Source organism: Homo sapiens, chromosome 2 (genome assembly GCF_000001405.40).
Source record: "Homo sapiens chromosome 2, GRCh38.p14 Primary Assembly".
NCBI classification, from domain to species: Eukaryota; Metazoa; Chordata; class Mammalia; order Primates; family Hominidae; genus Homo; species Homo sapiens.
The window spans coordinates 227,859,821-227,877,289 of NC_000002.12; the positions used below are offsets into that span (position 1 = coordinate 227,859,821).

Here is a 17,469-nt window from a genome sequence, read left to right on the forward strand (position 1 = left end):
GCCGCCGCCTCCTGGGTTCAAGTGATTCTCCTGCTTCAGCCTTCTGAGTAGCTTGGATTACAGGCACATGCCACCACACCTGGCTAATTTTCGCATTTTTAGTTTCGGCATGTTGGTCAGGCTGGTCTTGAACTCCTGACCTCAGGTGATCCACCTGCCTTGGCCTCCTAAAGTGCTGGGATTACAGAGATGACCCACTGAGCCCAGTCTCTAATCACTTCTTTTACTAATTAATGATTGGGTAGGACTCAGTGGTAGTTTTAACTAAAGTGATCGAAACGGGAAGTACGTTTTCCAAATCATTAGTGGGCGAGAACAGATTCTGAGCAGAATTTTCAGGTGGGTCTGCCAAAGCAACACTGCAGAACTGTTCACTAGGCCTGTGGCTGACTCTGCTATGATCAGGGAATAGGGAACTGGGACACCAGCACACAGCTGATGGCTGTGGGCCACAATCTCGCTGGCATTCTGAATGGCCTGCACTTGTCTTGTCACCATCCATGATGCTAGAGCCCAGCTGTGGAGAGCTCTGTTAGAGCTGCTGCAGAAGGAAACAGACTACCCCCATGATGACCGGGCTGAGCTTGCCTGCGGCAGCCCTGACTCTACCTGCCAATGCTGCTTCTGCTTCCCAGATGGCACGGGCATCACCTGGGTGTTGCCTGCTTGATGGGAATCAGGCCACACGTGGAACCTGGGCCCTGAAGCTGTCTGCGGTCTCCAGCAGGCACTAGGCCCACTGGCAGGGAAATGAAACAGAACTGAATGAGCCAACCAAAGCTGCCAATGTGGCCATGTCAGAGTTTTGGAAATAAAAGGACTTAACTGATAAAATATGAGGAAAAGGGGAAAGGGATTGTTCAGGTGGGCTTTGAAGAAGAAAGAGATGGTTTAGGAAAAGGAGCTGCTACAAAGGCAGAGTTGGAGACAGAAACATGGAACTAAAACATAAGAGAGAAAGAAAAAAGACAGAAAGGCAGGAAAAAGCGAAAGGAGCTTCAAGACAAAAGGGAGTGCCAACAGTCTGAGAAAGAAAGAGGAGGTGGAGAGGATCTGGAATCCCCCTTTGGGAGAGTAGCCAAGGTTTGCGCAGCTACACCTTCCCCCCATTACCTACTACTGTTGCTCTTTTGAGATGCTGGGCAGTCTGTGAGATTTATGTCCTGGGAACAAAGTTAACAGAGGCAGTAACAAGCATAAAACCATAGGCTTTAAAAGTTTTTATCATTTTAAGTATTTCCTGTATATATTTCCATTGAAAACAAGAAATAAGAACAAGCTGATCTTTCCCTTTCTGCTTTAAAATGTCACTTTTCAGCAAGCACATATTCAGTTCAGTTGACACACACAAAGCCAAAATCCTGGCTGAGACACATTCAAGCTATTATCATCTTGGAATTTGTTACGGTAAGTCCTGCAGGGACTGTGTGGTGTTGAGTTGGCACAGACGCACCTCAGAGAAGCAGTAGTATAAACAGTTCTGTATTTGCAAAAGGAAATAAGAAAATAATTGAAAAAGTAAGAAATTTAGACCAAGGCAAGTAAAATTGGCTAAATAAAGAACTATTTCAAAATGGCCTTAAACAGAGAGGGCGTATCAAGCTGTGCTCTTCTCTCAAAGCCTCAATTTGTCATCTGTAAAATGGGAACAATGGTCCTTACTGCATAGTTTTTGTGAAGATTGAAGCAGATGATTTGGGTGATACAATTAACCCAGAGCCTGGTACAAAGTATGCATTCAATAAATGTTAATTATTATCATTGTTACCATTGCTAGCATGTTTGGTGTCATGGCAAGGAGTTCTCTCTCTCTCTCTCTCTTTCTCGGAGTCTCACTCTGTCACTCAGGCTGGAGTACAGTGGCGTGCAATCTTGGCTCACTGCTACCTCTTGCCTCCCAGGTTCAAGCGATGTTCCTGCCTCAGTCTCCCAAGTAGCTGGGATTATAGGCGCCCACCACCACACCCAGCTAATTTTTGTATTTTTAGTAGACATGGGGTTTCACCATGTTGCTCAGGCTGGTCTCAAACTCCTGATCTCAAGTGATCTGCCTGCCTCTACCTCCCAAAATGCTGGGGTTACAGGCGTGAGCCACCGCGCCCGGCCAAGTTATTTCAAAGATAAGTTTTAGGTAGCTAAAAGGAAAGAGTTTGCTCAATACTTAGGCTCTTTTGTCTGGCCTAGGCTCTGGGCTCCCTTCCTCCTTCCCTCCCTTCCTTCCTTCATTTCTTCCTTCCTTCCTTCCTTTTCTGAATATTTTGTTGTATTTATTGTTTATTTTATTATAAAAAGTTTTATTTTTATTATTTGTAAAAATTTTTGTGGGTACATAGTAGGTATATATATTGATAGGGTACATGAGATATTTTGACACAGCATGCAATGTGAAATAAGCACATTTCAGATGTCTCTGAGGATTGGAAAAAAAAAGCACATCATGGAGAATGGGTTATCCATCCCCTGAAGCATTTATCTTTTGAGTTACAAAAAACCCAATTACATTATTTAAGTTATTTTAAAATATACAATTAAGTTATTATTGACCTACGGAAAGAATGTAAATGCTCTTATAAAACAGGTGTACACTTCTGCCCCCTACTGGCAGTGAGCTATTTAGCAGATAAATAACCTTGACCTAATTGCAACAATCCCTCGATGTGGTATTTTATTTGGAATAGATGGTTAGACATATTTTGCATATCAACACGTATTCCAGAGTTAAACAATTTAGTTATAGAAGTGGTTAATTCCGTTACGATAATGTTCAACGAAAAAAGATTTTAGGTGCCTAGAAATTGGGTATACAGCCCACTGTATATATTTACATCATTTGTTTTATACAATAGCCCCATGAGGCAGATAGTATTATTATCCCCGTTTTGATTTGAGCAAATCGAGGTTCTAAAAGGGATCTGCTAGTAAGTGGAAGAACTGGCATTCAAACGTCAAGCTCCTCTGACTCACATTTGTGTCCTTTCCGGGCAGGCCATCAGGCCTCCCTAAAGAGGACGAACTCATCAGCAACATCAAAAGTCTGACTCTTGGCAGGTCTGATGTAATTACACATTGCACCATCTTTCCCTCACTTCATTTTCATTGAAAAGCAACTTGCAACCAAGTACACTAGAGGAGAGTATAAGCTCATGAGGGAGTGTGGAGAGGTGAAGGCTTTTTGTGAGCAGGGCTAGTCTAGGGGGAGCCTACAATGATCAGCTGCCCCCTGGGCACGTGTCCAGGGCTGGGTGGCCCACTGAGAAGTCTGGATAGCTCCCAAAGCCCTGCCAGTGAGTGGGGCAAAGGCTGGCCCTTGCTCAGCTTGGGTTTTCTGGCTGCGGGAATGCCCCCATTAGGCCTGGAGGTCCTGGCAGTGTGAAGGAACACCCTCTAACCCAGAGCTGATGCCTTTCCCTAATCTGCCCAAAGTCATGGCTTGTGCTAGCAGTGGCACCATATAAAGCATGGCAGGATGTCTTTACCTGTTTGCATGAAATTCACAAGCCTAGCCAGGGCCTTTTTCTCAGGCAAGGCAGAGGGCACCAGTGATCTGATTCCAGTCAATCCCCAGCACCACTACCATCAGCATATTTAGAGAATGACTCATTTAACTGGGTAGAAGGGAGAAGGAGGGAGACAATTAGTCACAGTTGGAGGTAGGAGGGCAGGAGAGAACTTCTTTGGAATTTTGGGATCCAAGAAGAGAGATAAATGACGCCGAGCTTCTTTGAGGTGATCCTGGAAATCCAGCAAGCCTCACAAAGCAGCTTTCATGCATTGCAGAAAGGAGTGGGCATTGAGTGGAAATGGCAGCCTGATGCAGGCTGGAGAGAGATGACTAATTTATCTGTCAAACTGGCAAGTTTAGGTATTTAGAAGTTCACTGGACCCCAGAGTGGGGCATGGAAGTCACCAAGAACTACAGGTTCTTTAAGGGACCCAGGGCCAAGAGGAGAGACTCCAGAAGTGGCACACAGCAGACTGTCCTCTGGGGGCTGAAACAGGGTGCAGTGACATTTCAGCAAGTTGCTGCAGTGAAGGTGGTAGGAGGCACCCTGACAAGCTGAGGAGGGCATTATAATGCAAGTGGGAGCATAGAACCAATGACAACCAAGGCTAATAATTTCAGACCTTTTCTCCATTAATCCGCAAAGGGCTATTGTATCAGATCCTTCAGGAGTTTAGAGTAAACCCTGTAAGAGGAAGAAAAATCAGACAAGTAACACCGAATAGAATGGAGTTTTCAACATGAATGAATGAACCATCACTAGGGTCCCGCGAGTTTACTTGAGAGTGGCCAGATGCAGTTGTTGGCATAGGGATTGGAGGCAGGCATTGTACGGTAGGGACATTTTGGAGTGTGTGATGTGAACTCCACATCCAGCACATACTGTTGCAGAAAATCAAATTGAGCATGTGGACAAGGTGTTCTTCACTGGGTGAGGCTTTAGAACAGCTGACGTGGGAGGCTTACTGGGTGGCAGAATGACAAGAATCAAAGCTAGAGCAGGAATAAGTGAGTCGTGGTGCCTGAGTGCTGAATGGAATGAGCGAAAATCATTTGCAGTTGAGTAACTGAGGATTAGAAGGGCAAACGATTTGCTTAAAGGTCATCAATGAAAGGGCAGGATTGGAACTTCTGTCTTCCAACGAGCAACCCACTGTTTCATACCTTTCCACATTTATCTTTTTGTGAAAACACACAGACACACAGCGAGCACAAGATCATGGAACCATAGAAACGAAAGGAAAATTTTATCTAGTCCTGTCTCTCAGCCGACTTAGTATTATGTTTTACAATCATCTTGGCAACCGGTCAAACTGCCTCAGCTAGAACATTTCCAGTGCTGGGAAATTCTCATACTTTTGGACACAGCTTAGTCTATTCATCCATTACTGGACAAACTGGCAATGGAGTTCTTTATAGGGAGCCAACATCTGCCTCCATGAATCCAACTCTCTTAGCCCTGCCCTCTAGTTCTGCACATAATCAATGACTTCCTCTTCCAAATCATAATGAAAATCACTCACTAATCAAGGACCTATGGTGTGCCAGTCACAAAGGGTGGCATTATGCCCACCCCAGGGTCTCTGGTTCATGTTCCAGATATCCCTGGTCTTTCTGCACCTGTATCGTTCTTCTCTGGACTGTCTCTAGCTTGGGAAGGTATAGAATCCATTCTTCCCTTCCAGATCCTCTAGGCCATTTATTTAAGAAAGTAAATCTATTTGGGTCCACAGAGAAAGTAGTTATGATTTTAAAAATATAAACTAATTTTAATGTTTAAGCCAACTGTACTAACACTAATTGATATAATTAGCAAGGTATACTTGTCAAGGATCACACAAAAGATTCCAAATTGCAGTTGGAGCAATTGTTGACCTAGATCATCAATTGAAATGGAAATGATATGTACATGCCCTTTCCTCAGTTTCAAACAAATTTAGCATAATAATGCTTATTATTATCATCACCGTCCCTAATTCTTACAGAATGTTTCAAGTGAATCAGGCTCATAGTGACAACTCTATGAATTGGATACGATGATCATTTCTAGCTTTTTGAGGAGGAAACTAAAGCCCAGAGAGGTGATGGACCTTGCCCAAGATCGCATGTCTAGAAAACGGTAGGCTTCAAGTCAGGCATTCTGCTCTAATGACTCAGTGGCAAAGCTGTTTATCAGCTGTGCCAGCTGTTTATCAGCCTGCCATGTACTGGCATTGACCCATCAGTGAATGTAAATTTGGTCACACCTAGAGGTCTCTCTCCCACTAACCTACAATCATTTCTTCCTTTCTTCTTTTTTGTTTTGTTTTTTTAGATGGAGTTTCGCTCTTGTCACCCATGCTGGAGTACAATGGCATGATCTCAGCTTACTGCAACCTCCGCCTCCTTGGTTCAAGCGATTCTCCTGCCTCAGCCTCCCAAGTAGCTGGGATTACAGGCAGGTGCCATCATGCCCGGCTAATTTTATACTTTTGGTAGAGACAGGGTTCCACCACGTTGGTCAGGCTGGTCTCAAACTCCTGACCTCAGGTGGTCCACCGCCTCGGCCTCCCAAAGTGATGGGATCACAGGCGTGAGCCACCTCACCTGGCAACCTACAATCATTTCAAACTCACCCGAAGTCTGATTCTTTCTGTGAATAACTCCCTTGCAATATTTTTCAGAATTAGATCTATAACAGCAGCATGCCTGGTACTAGCAGGTCCTTTATACACATTTATTGAATGATACAATTAGTGGCCCTGGCCCTGTTAGTTTTCAAGTCCCAGGTAAGATCAGATGCTTTTGAGTCCTGCTGTGGGGATGGAGGCAGGCAGAGGAAGAGGGTAAATGGCGATGTCTGGTCCACATGCCCCCACCCTGATGCCGTTCCTCCGCTCTGGGGCCTGCTGTGATGAGGTCACCTTTAAACCCTGTGCACAGCAGACTGCTCCTGCCTGGCTCTGAGCATCTGTGCCTTCTCTTTCTAGGAGAGGATTGCATCTCTCTTTTTATCTGCTGCTCTCAGTGAGGCTCCAACACCAGTGATGCAGTCATCTCACTGAAGTTGGTTTTCTCCAGGAGAAGCTGAGCCAAATGGAATCCACCAAGCCCAGCCGCAGCCGGAAGCCCTACTCCTCCCTTACCTTGCCCAGCCTCAAAAATACAGAATCTGGATCCCCCGGACTGACTCCTTCTTCCTTCTCCTCCTCCTCCTCTTTCTCTCTCTCTCTCTATAAATATAAATATATATATGTATAGATATACTACATCCATATATATATATATATATTTTGAGACAGGTTCTGGCTCTGTCACCCAGGCTGGAGTGCAGTGGTGTGATCTCAGCTCACTGAACCACCGCCTCCTAGGCTCAAGCCATCCTCCCACCTCAGCCTCCTGAGTGGCTTGGACTACAGGTGAGTGCCACCACACTGGGCTAATTTTTGTACATTTTGTAGAGATGGGGTTTTTCCCTGTTGCCCAGGCTGGTCTCAAACTCCTGAGCTCAGGCAGTCTTCCTGCCTTGGCCTCCCAAAGCACTGTGATTACAGGCGTGAGCCACCAGAGCCACCATACATATTTTGATTTTAGAGACTACCTCCCTCCCCAACTCCCATCCTCCCAGGTACCTTCTGATTCTTCCCTCAGCCTGATGTCCACTGTCCTCTCTCAGTGCATTGGAGCATCTGAAACCCAATTATGTAGAAAATTCCAGCTTCTTCCCGTGTTGTTTCTGGTTCTCATTTACATTCGAGGATGTGGTTGAACAATCAATTTACTGTTCCTGACAATCAGGGAAGACTGCCTGGAATACACAGAAAGACCTGATCATTGGAGATGAAGCCCAATTTCACTCACTTCGTTCTGTCCAAGCCAGTGTAACCTATTAAGCTAGCACAGTGGCTCTCAAGCTTCATCATTCACTAGAATCACCAGGAAAGCACATTTAAACATGGGTTGTTGGACTTCACCATCAGTGTTTCTGATTCAGTAGGTCGGGACTCGGGGGAGGCGAAAATGTACATTGCTGATGAATTCCTAAGTGATACTGACCCTGCTGGTCCGGGAACCATGCTTGGAGAACTGAAGCCTAGAGTGACTTCACTGTATTAGCCTGGATTGGTTTAGGAGATTAAAATTACTGCTACTCATTATTTAGTTTCTGGTTGTTCAAGGCAGGTCCTGGTGGGAATGTCTTAGTTCAGGCTTCCATAACAAGTACCGTTGACTGGGTGGCTCACAAACAATAGAAACTTCTTCCTCACAGTTCTGGAGGCTGGAAGTCTGAGATCAGGGTGCCAGCATGCCCTTTTATTTTGAAATAAATCAGTATACTTTTCCTAAGAACAAGGACATTCTCTTACATAACCAGTACAATGATCAAAGTCAAGAAACTTAACACTGATAAAATACTATTATCTAAACCACAATCCCTATATACAGAGTTCATCCATTGTCTCAACGATGCCCTTTGTAAGTAATTATTATTCTGGTTCAGGATCTATCATCACTCAGTGCATTTAGTTGTCCTTTTTAGATTTATTTAATCTCAAGTATTTCTTTAGAGTTTTCTTTCCTTGACTGTCAACAGTTATTTTATACAATTTCCTCAGTTTGGTTTGCTCCGATGTTTCCTTATGATTTGAGTCAAGTAATTCATTTTGGGCAGGAATTCCAGAGAATTGCTGTTTTTTTTTGTTTATTGTTTTTTGTTTTTTTTTTTAACAGAGTCTTGCTCTGTTGCCAGGCTGCAGTGCAGTGGCACGATCTCGGCCCACTGCAACCTCCGACTCCCTGGTACAAGCAATTCTCCTGCCTCAGCCTCCAGAGTAGCTGAGATTACAGGCACGTTCCACCACGCCCAGCTAATTTTTGTATTTTTAGTAGAGATGCGGTTTCACCATGTTGGCCAGGATGGTCTCGATCTCCTGACCTTATGATCTGCCCACCTTGGCCTCCCAAAGTGCTGGGATTACAGGCATGAGCCACTGCACCCGGCTTTGCTGTGTTCTCTTCAGTGCATCGTAATACCAGGTAATATATGTCAGTTTGTCCCACTATTGGTGATGTCCTCCCTGACTCAAGTGATCCTTTCACCTCAGCCTCCTGAGTAGCTGGGACAATAGGGGCATGTACCACACCCAGCTAATTAATTTTTTTGTAGAGACCGGATCTTGCCTTGTTGCCTAGGCTGGTCTTGAACTCCTGGGTTCAAGCAATCCTCCTAACTTGGCCTCCCAAAGTGTTGGGATTATAGGTAAGAGCCACCGTGCCCCACCCAAAGATCACGTTTTAAATGGGTGCCCCACCCAAAGATCACATTTTAAATGGCATGAGCACAAGCAATAACATAGGTGACCAAAATCTACCAAAGACTTTCTCATTTCTATAGAGCAAACTCTTTGCCCCTCCCTCCATAAGTCCTTCCAGAGTGTCTTAGTGGCTAGGAGAAAGTTTGAGCTGGGAGAGAGCTTGGATTTCATACGGTTCCCTGTTTTCCAAGTATGGGATGCTTACTACTGGTGAGAAAAAGATGATTTTTTTTTTGCACATTTATATTGGGTTAAATTGTGTCACTTAGTAGCAAAGGCTTTGCCATCTCAACAATCTTTTCAATCTTCTGAACACATCAAGTAGGAAGGCTCAGTTGAGTGCTATTCCGTCTTGTAGCCTGTCTTAACAATCTCAAACAGTTGCTAATTTCCTTCCTTCCCTTCCTCCCTCCCTCCCTCCCTCTTTCTTTCCTTTCTTCCTTCCTTTGTTTACAAAGAAAGGGATGGTTTTGGGTTCAGAGTCTTTGGCAGTATATAGTAATTAGTATATAGTAATATAGTAATATATAGTAGTATATAGTAATTCAATGCCTTTAGGTCAATATATTTTCCATTTTTACTGTGCATACGCATATATACAATGTATTTTAAAAGTTGGCTTTACAATATGTAGTTTTATCATTTGGTTTACAACTAAATATATTGTGAACATTTTCTCTTCTACAACAGTTAAAAGAATTGCATAGCTTGGAGGAAACATAATTTATTAAGCAGTCTTGTTGGGGACATTGAGGTATAATTTTTTTTTTATAAGGAGACTTCATTCTTTTTACAACACCTTTGGGAAAAAAATTGGAGTCCTTGTCTCATATAGCTTTCTATAGATGACGGAAACTTACCCTTCCATTTAGCCTTTTAACTTTCTTCTCTACACCCACCTAATCACCATCAAGTAACCCATTTTATGTTTTCCAACCTCTCTCTCCCATTTGCTTCCTCTTTCCTACCCAGTCTCCCTGCATACATGCAGATGAACTTCCATTCCTTCAGCCCTCTGTTTCCTCCCCTTAAAGAGGCTTTCTTTCCATTTAAAGAGACTATTTTAATTGATTTTTATCAACTCTACTCAAAACTGTATCCTAAGGTCCACATTAGGATTGGTCTTTAATAATCTGAAGATAATATTCAATTGTTTAAAAGAACTTTTAAGAAGACCTTGGTAGAATTACATGTATCAAGAAACATGACTTAGGCACAATGGAGATATGGCTGACTTTCTTTTGAAAAAAGAAGTAGTTTTTGTGGGGAGGGCAGGGCAAAGAGGTAAGAAGTATTTGGTACTACAAGGAAATGTTAGAGACCATTTTGGAAATGTATTCATTATTTTAAGGCAACTAACAAATGATCATCTTTCAGTTAGGACATTATAGCAGCAGCCTTTACTGGTCATGAAATTTGAATGATATCTAAAATCATATTTCTGGAAATAGGTCAATGTCAATTAATAGTAACTTTGTATAGAAAGGCAGATGCCAGCTAGCATATAAAAGTGGTGCATGCAGACGGTGGTAGTTCTGGAGTCCTGGGAGCCATGAGGTGCTCATCCATCACAAGGCCATCACAGCCAGGTAGAAATGCCTGAGGAAAGCAGCGGAGCTGCCCGTGCCAGCATTTACACATGGAACACTTCTTGGGCAGCCGGGTGTCATGGGGCACAGACCCACAATTCTCTTTGCGTACACCGTGCTCACAGTTCCATCCATAGAAGGAGGGGAGGCAGGCACAAAAGGACCCCAGCATGCAGGTTCCCCCATTCAGGCAGCAGGTTCTGTTTGGCTCCTTACTGTCCTGTATCCCCATGGGGGGCACAAGCTGGGAAGACCGAGGACGAATTGCAGGCTCCTCCTGGGGCTGAATGCTGTCATCTCTGAAGGCCAGGTCTCCCTGAGATGGACGCACAAGTTCCCGATGGCTCAGCCTTTAACAAGCAATTCAACGCCTTTAAAAAATTGCCTTTACTTTTACAGTTACTGGCTGTTTACTGAAAATTTCATATAATTTTAAATTTAGAAATAAAAACTTCACAGATGGAATTAAATTTCATATAATTTTCAGTAAACAGCCAGTAACTGTAAAAGTAAAGGTAATTTTTAAGATTACATTTTACTAAGTGAAGTAAAATAAGTGAGTCAATCTAGAGACATTTTAAGAACTTAAAACTTAGGTATGGATCTCTGGAAGAGGTAAGGAGAGATATGGCTCATAGTTGCGCAGATAACACAGGAATGACTCAAGTTTGAGAAATTCCAGTTGAGGCCAAATTCCTTAAAGGAAATTGACAAGCTGGTTGGCTGACTCTGTCTCTCCGCAGGCTTTCTCATGGAAACGTGGCAGGCAAACAACGATGCTGGCAAGAAATTGGACAAGCCGCATGAAGGCCTGGAGAGTTTTAAGCCCAGGTTGAGAGCACAGGTGTAGGCTTTCTGGTGTAGGTTCCGACGCACCTGCCTTCCATTCCCGCCTATCCATTTAGGCTGCGACCTCTGGTAGTTCTCCACTTTCTCTAATTCTGAGTTACTTCATCCTTAAGAAGTGGTGCATAACTCACACCTTGTTAGGATTGTATGAGTATGTGTGCATACACCGTTTAAAGCAATGTAGGGCACAGAGTCAGGAAATGCAAAATATTAAGTTGAGGTCATTTTTCTTTTGGGAGGACAAGGACAGGGCACGGGCTGGGGCCCTAGAGTAGTAATTAGCGATGGGCTTTTCCTCCCAGCCTTCCTTTTGGGAAACGCAGTGTGCTAAAAAAGTGCATGCAGCCCAGGCTGTGGCCTAGGCCGTCGGTTCCCGGCCATGCCTAGCTCCTCTGAGGTCGCCCTTAGTGAGGACACGAGGTGCCCTCACCTCTTTCACTCTAGACACCTCCAGAACACTCGCCCCCCGCGCGCCGGAGCCCCGGGTCGCCACCAACCGCCCGCGGAGCCAGACCTCCCAGCTCTGCGCCCCAGGACCGCGCGGTGCAACCTGCGCATGCGCACCCGCGTCCCGCTGCTGTTTAGCCGTTTCCAAGGCTACGAAGCCCATCGGCCGGGGATAAGAGAGCAAGAAAATGAAGCTCAAGAGCCTCCTGCTCCGGTATTACCCGCCAGGTACGCACCAGCCCGGCCCCGTCATCCCCACGTGGGACCCTGGGCTCCCAGACTGGGAGGGTTTGGGGCGGAGGAGGGCGCAGCCACTGAAAGGCGGCGGGGTCCCCAGGTGGGGCAGGAAGTCGGGCACTTCCCAACCTGTGCCCCTCATTCCTTCAGATGCTGGACTCTTCCTCAAAACATTAACAATTACTCTTTTAGGAATTTAAAGAGTTTAGCTTGACTGTGCATGTCAGTCTGTCTGCATTTATTGAGTGCCTACTGCGTACACGCTTTGTGCTCTCTGCTATGGACCTTTAAAGAAGTTCATAGTGCTTGATTTCAATGAGTGAAGTAATTATGAAATAAATTACTTAACTATTACTTAGTAACATAAGCAATACATTAATTACCTAATCCTTGCCTAACTCTAATTTTAGGTGAGGACATGGTCACCTTTAAAGAATAAGTGACACCCATTGATCACCCAGCTTCTTAGGGACAGAAATAGGAGTGCAATTCTTGGGTTCTAATTCAGAACTCGTCTTCTGAATTAGAAACATCTGCAAAAAAAAAAAAAAAAAGAAAAAAAAGAAAAAAATCTGCAAAACATACCACAAGGCAGAAGATAACCAAATACACTTGCCCAATGAAGTTTGGATAGGAAGTGTCATAAAGATTTCAAAGGAGGGTAAGATACTTTGGACCGGTTTTGTTAAGAATAGCTTTATGAGGGGTGGGACTTGAATTTCAGGTTGAATATCTCACTTTTCCCTGCAACACATCCAACTGCTTGGTCAACATCGCCGATGAGGTATCGCATAGAGATCTCATGATTTCTTTTTTCCAGTCCCATCCCAATCCTGCTGCTTCCTCAAACTGTGCCCTGCCAGTAGAAGGCATCATCACCCAGCCTGTTTTTTGCCAGAAACCTAGGTGGTCACTTTTTGTTTCTCTCCTGTGATCATTCACTGCCTCCCCCACCCCCCCAACCCCCGGCATTCCGTTATCATTCTGCCAGCTCTAAGTCCAAAATATTCTGTGAATCCATCAGATTATCCCTCTTTCCATAGCACAGATTTCTTGGTCTAACATCCCTTCCAGCTGCCAACCTAGTCCAACCCTCCATTCCAGCCACCATTCCCTTTGGCTGAGCCACTCCAGTGGCTTTTCAACTGGATTCCTGGTTTTCACCCTCATCTCCTACAATCCATCTGCCACTAGGAGCCAGTGGGATCTGAATTCAAGATCTCCAATAGCTTCCTATCATGCTTAGAATACGATCCGCAACCTGTGGGATTTGGCTCATTCTGTGCTGCTGACTTCTAAAACTTCACTTGTCTACCCTCACTATACTTCTGACTTCTTTAGCTTGTTCTTCTAAGACTTAAGAGAGGGCCTTTCACTCATTCGTTTTTTGGACCCAGCTTTCCCTAGAGCTAGGAAAAGCTGCTTCCTTTTCTTCATTCAGTTTCAATCAATGTCAACCACCTGAAGAGACTTTCCTACCTATTCAAAGTAGCCTGCACTGATTTTACTCTATGCCATAAAGTGCTTAAAAATTATATTTGTCATCATCCAAAACTCTACTTGTTTTGTTTCAAATGTCTGCCCCTTTCCCATTTAATGTAAACTTCGTGAGAACTAAGATCTTAGTGTGGTTTGATCATTGTAGCACCCTCAGCTTCTAGAAGAGATTTGGTGACACAGAAGATCAGGAATGTTTGTTGAATGAATGTATGGATAAATGGATGTGTTTGATGAGAGGTCAGGTATGGAAATTACTGAAAATAAACACTGAAAATCTTAAGGGATGCTGCTTCTGCCTCCCTGGAAGACCGATCCTGGACAGCTACTTTCTCCAATGGGAAGTTGACATTTGTAGAAAAGACATGCATTTTCTCCTTCATAGAATTCCAGTTAAAATAATATGAGAAAGCTATATATATGACAGTATCTAGATAAATTTATTTTATGTAATTAATTAATTAATTTAATTTTTGAGACAGAGTCTTGCTCTGTCACCCAGGTTGGAGTGCAGTGGTGCAATCCAACTCCACCTCTTGGATTCAAATGATTCTCATCCCTTAGCCTCCCAGGTAGCTGGAATCACAGGTGTGCACTACCAAGCCCAGCTAATTTTTGTATTTTTAGCAGAGACGGGGTTTCACCATGTTGGCCAGGCTGGTCTTGAATTCCTCACCTCAAGTGATCCACCTGTCTTGGACTCCCAAAGTGCTGGGATTACAGATGTGAGCCACTGCATCAGGCTGAGAGTATCTACGAAATTTAAATTAGGCATAGGTAGATAGTATATAGAAAATTTAAAATTAAGACTAATAGTCTGTTTCCTTTAAGTATTCCATAATTTTCTTTTGGCTCTTTTTGCCCATAGGCCTGTGCTGGTTCCCATAGATGTACCAATAAATGAAGCTCTTGCTTTCATCTCTTTGTTGTGGAGTGTAGGTTAAGAATATGAGCTCTGGGTTCAGAATAACGGCTTCTCACCATATACAATAATAAAAAAACTTGGGCAATTTGTTTTATTCTATCAAAGCATGGGTACATGGTGACAACAGCACCACTTCACAGGTCTACTAGACCCTTCCAGCTTCTTATCTTATTTGATTCTTTCTCTTCAGAGTAGAGAAAATTTTTGGAAGAATACTCTCCCCAAGTGCTGTCCTCCCTTCCTATCATGTTTTCACGCGGATTGCCCCACTGAAACTGCCCACTTTAAGATCTCCAATGACATTCACATTGCTAATCTACTGGCCAAGCCACAGTCCTTGCCTGCCTTGACCTGACAGCAGCATTCAACCACTCTGCTTTTCTTTGGCTTCCAGGACACATATTCTATTTTCCTTCCTGTCTCACGTCACTTCTTCTGTGTCTATCTTGTTGGTTCCTCTTCTTCTTTTTGATTATTTAATGTTGGAGTGCCCCAGAGCCCCAACCTTGGATTTCTCCTTTCTATCTACACTCATACACTATGCAATCTCATCCATTCTCAAGGCTTAAAAACTATCCTGAACTGAGGTCAGGAGTTCGAGACCAGCCTGCCCAACATGGTGAAACCCCGTCTCTACTAAAAATACAAAACAATTAGCCAGGTGTGGTGGTGCGGGTCTGTAATCCCAGCTACTCAGGAGGCTGAGGCAGGAGAATCGCTTGAATCTGGGAGGTGGAGGTTGCAGTGAGCCAAGATCACACCAATGCACTCCAGCCTGGGTGCCAGAGCAAGACTCTGTCTCAAAACAAACAAACAAACAAACAAACAGAAAAACAAAAAACAAACCATCCCGCATAGTCCTGAGTACCTGAGTGCCCACCCGACACATTCATTTGAATGTCCACCGTACATCTCATGTGGGGGTCTCCCATGGTCTTCCCCATCTCAGCAAATTGCAGCTCCATTTCTCCACTTACTCATGCCAAACATTTTGGACTCTTCCTTGTCTCTCTCTCATCTCCACATCCACTAACAAATCCTGCTAGTCCTGCCTCCAAAATATATGCAGAATCCAACAATTTCTACTACCTGACCACTACCATTCTTTTTAGCTTGAAAGCTTCCTTCCACCCTTGCCCCTCTTCAGTCTATATGGCAATGGGATGGCTCTGTTAGAACATAAATATGACCATGTCACTCTTCTGCTCCAGCCCTCCAATGACTTCTCAGCTCGTTTAAAGTAAAAGGACCATGATCCCCAAGGCCCTGCAAAATCTCACCCCCTGTTGCTTCCCTGACCTCACCACTTTCGACTTTTCCCTCCAGCAACACTCCTCTCCTTGGTGTTCCTTGAATGGGGCAGAGGTGTCCCCACCCAGGGTCTGCAGTTGGTGTTCTTTCTGCCTCGAATAATCTACCCATGGACATTTGTATCACTAGTGCCCCATATTTTTAAAGTCTTTCCTCAAAATTGTGTAAAGTGAAGACTTAGATATCTCCTTTCTGAGCATTTCTATCTTCTTCCCATGATATTTCACAGCCCCTTTCCCTGGTTTGTCTTTTCTCCTTGGGGCTATCTTAATCCAACTCATCATTGTTTCACTCATTTATTTTGCTTATTCTTTCCCACGAGAATAAAAGATTGACGAAGGCAGGAACTTTGTCTATTTTGTTTGCTCCTTATCTCTAGCACCCAGAGGAGAGCCTGGTGCATAAAATGACATTAATGTTTTTGTTGAATAAGTGAGTTTAATGAGATGATGTGTGTTAAGCAGAATGCCTCAAACTCTTCCTGAAGTGTGAAAGGGCCAGATAAGTGATCTTTGATCTACTTCAGCTCTAAATGCCTAGGATTCTCTCTTTTTTTTTTTTTGAGATGGAGTCTAGCTCTGTCACCCAGGCTGTAGTGCAGTGGCATGATCTTGGCTCACTGCAAGCTCCGCCTCCTGGGTTCATGCCATTCTCCTGCCTCAGCCTCCTGAGTAGCTGGGACTACAGGCGCCCGCCAGTACGCCAGGCTAATTAATTTTTTTGTATTTTTAGTAGAGACGGGGTTTCACCGTGTTAGCCAGGATGGTCTTGATCTCCTGACCTCGTGATCCACCCGCCTTGGCCTCCCAAAGTGCTGGGATGACAGGCGTGAGCCACTGTGCCCGGCCAAGCCTAGGATTCTTAGGCTCACGTAATTCTCTTGACTCATGTTTGCGACTATTGCCTTAATGCTTATCTTATAATGAGGTCATATTACTTAGCATGCTTGACATTTAATTTCTGAATTCCAGTCTTTGGTGAGCCAAATCATATGCAAGTTTCCAAGATACTACTGAATAGCAGGTGGGTGTTTCAATAATAGCATTATCAGATAGGAAAAATTATTCCACTGAATCATTCCCGTGCTACCTTTATCCCTTCTGCATATAGAGCAGTTTTGTTTTGCCTCCTAATCCTCTAATTTTCGCCCTCCCACTTTCTTTTGAATAACGTATAGGTCAGGGGCATTGTCTTGCTGCTATCTACTGAATTATCCCTCTCCCTACCTACATTCCCAAAGGCTAAATGTACATGCCAGTGACATGGCTAACCAAACATGGGACATTCCTTTTCATCTTGGTCACATTTATTAATTCATAAGCTCTTTGCTTTGGGGAGAGTGGGTGTTGACTATGTGCTTTTCAGCTAACTCAGTTATGACAATTTTTGTATTTCATTTATTGTGTGAAGTCCATAGTTCTCAGACCAGGAGAAGGAATTAAGTCAACATTAACTAAACTAGTTAACATTCTGAGCATTTTAAAGGTTTCTGTTGATTGAATATATAATCTAAGTAAAGAATACTAATATCATTTGAAGCATGCCCTTTTAATATACTGAAAAATTTGAGGAATAGAGGCTTCTTACCTAAGTGTTTTGGGAATTATATTTATTGAATAATGCACAATCAAGGGAAAATCAAGATTATTAAGATACTGTGGGAAACAGTCACTGAAGAAAAGCATGTATTTCTGGCAGCATCTTTGTTTATTTATTTTTATTTTTGAGACATAGTTTTGCTCTGTCAGCCAGGCTGGAGTACAGTGGCACAATCTTGGCTTACTGCAACCTCTGCCTCTGTCTCCCGAGTAGCTGAGA

At 43.7% G+C, this 17,469-nt stretch overlaps 1 protein-coding gene and 1 pseudogene across 4 annotated transcripts in view, besides 1 other annotated feature; one reads left to right on the forward strand and one right to left on the reverse strand.

Moving 5' to 3' along the window:
* Window positions 607–1,106: an enhancer, noted in NCBI's record as "H3K4me1 hESC enhancer chr2:228725143-228725642 (GRCh37/hg19 assembly coordinates)". NCBI's record gives its function as "activates a minimal SCP1, AML or CMV promoter by ChIP-STARR-seq in naive H9 embryonic stem cells {active_cell/tissue: H9 hESC(naive)}" and the evidence as "EXISTENCE:reporter gene assay evidence [ECO:0000049][PMID:30033119]".
* CRIPTOP2 (CRIPTO pseudogene 2) lies at window positions 9,356–10,765 on the reverse strand (annotated as a pseudogene).
* The window catches only part of DAW1 (dynein assembly factor with WD repeats 1), a 52,714-nt gene continuing 47,055 nt past the window's right edge, over window positions 11,811–17,469 (forward strand). For 2 of the 4 annotated variants that reach the window (NR_138459.2, NM_178821.3), the window contains exon 1: window positions 11,811–11,909. Coding sequence is in view for 1 of the 4 variants with exons in the window: in NM_178821.3 (NP_849143.1) it covers window positions 11,870–11,909 (40 nt within the window). In the remaining 3 variants the exon portion in view is untranslated. Of the gene's footprint in view, window positions 11,910–12,328; window positions 12,580–16,622; window positions 16,675–17,469 lie in introns of all 4 variants that reach the window. The other 2 variants (XM_047443536.1, NM_001330004.2) reach the window with 2 other exon arrangements.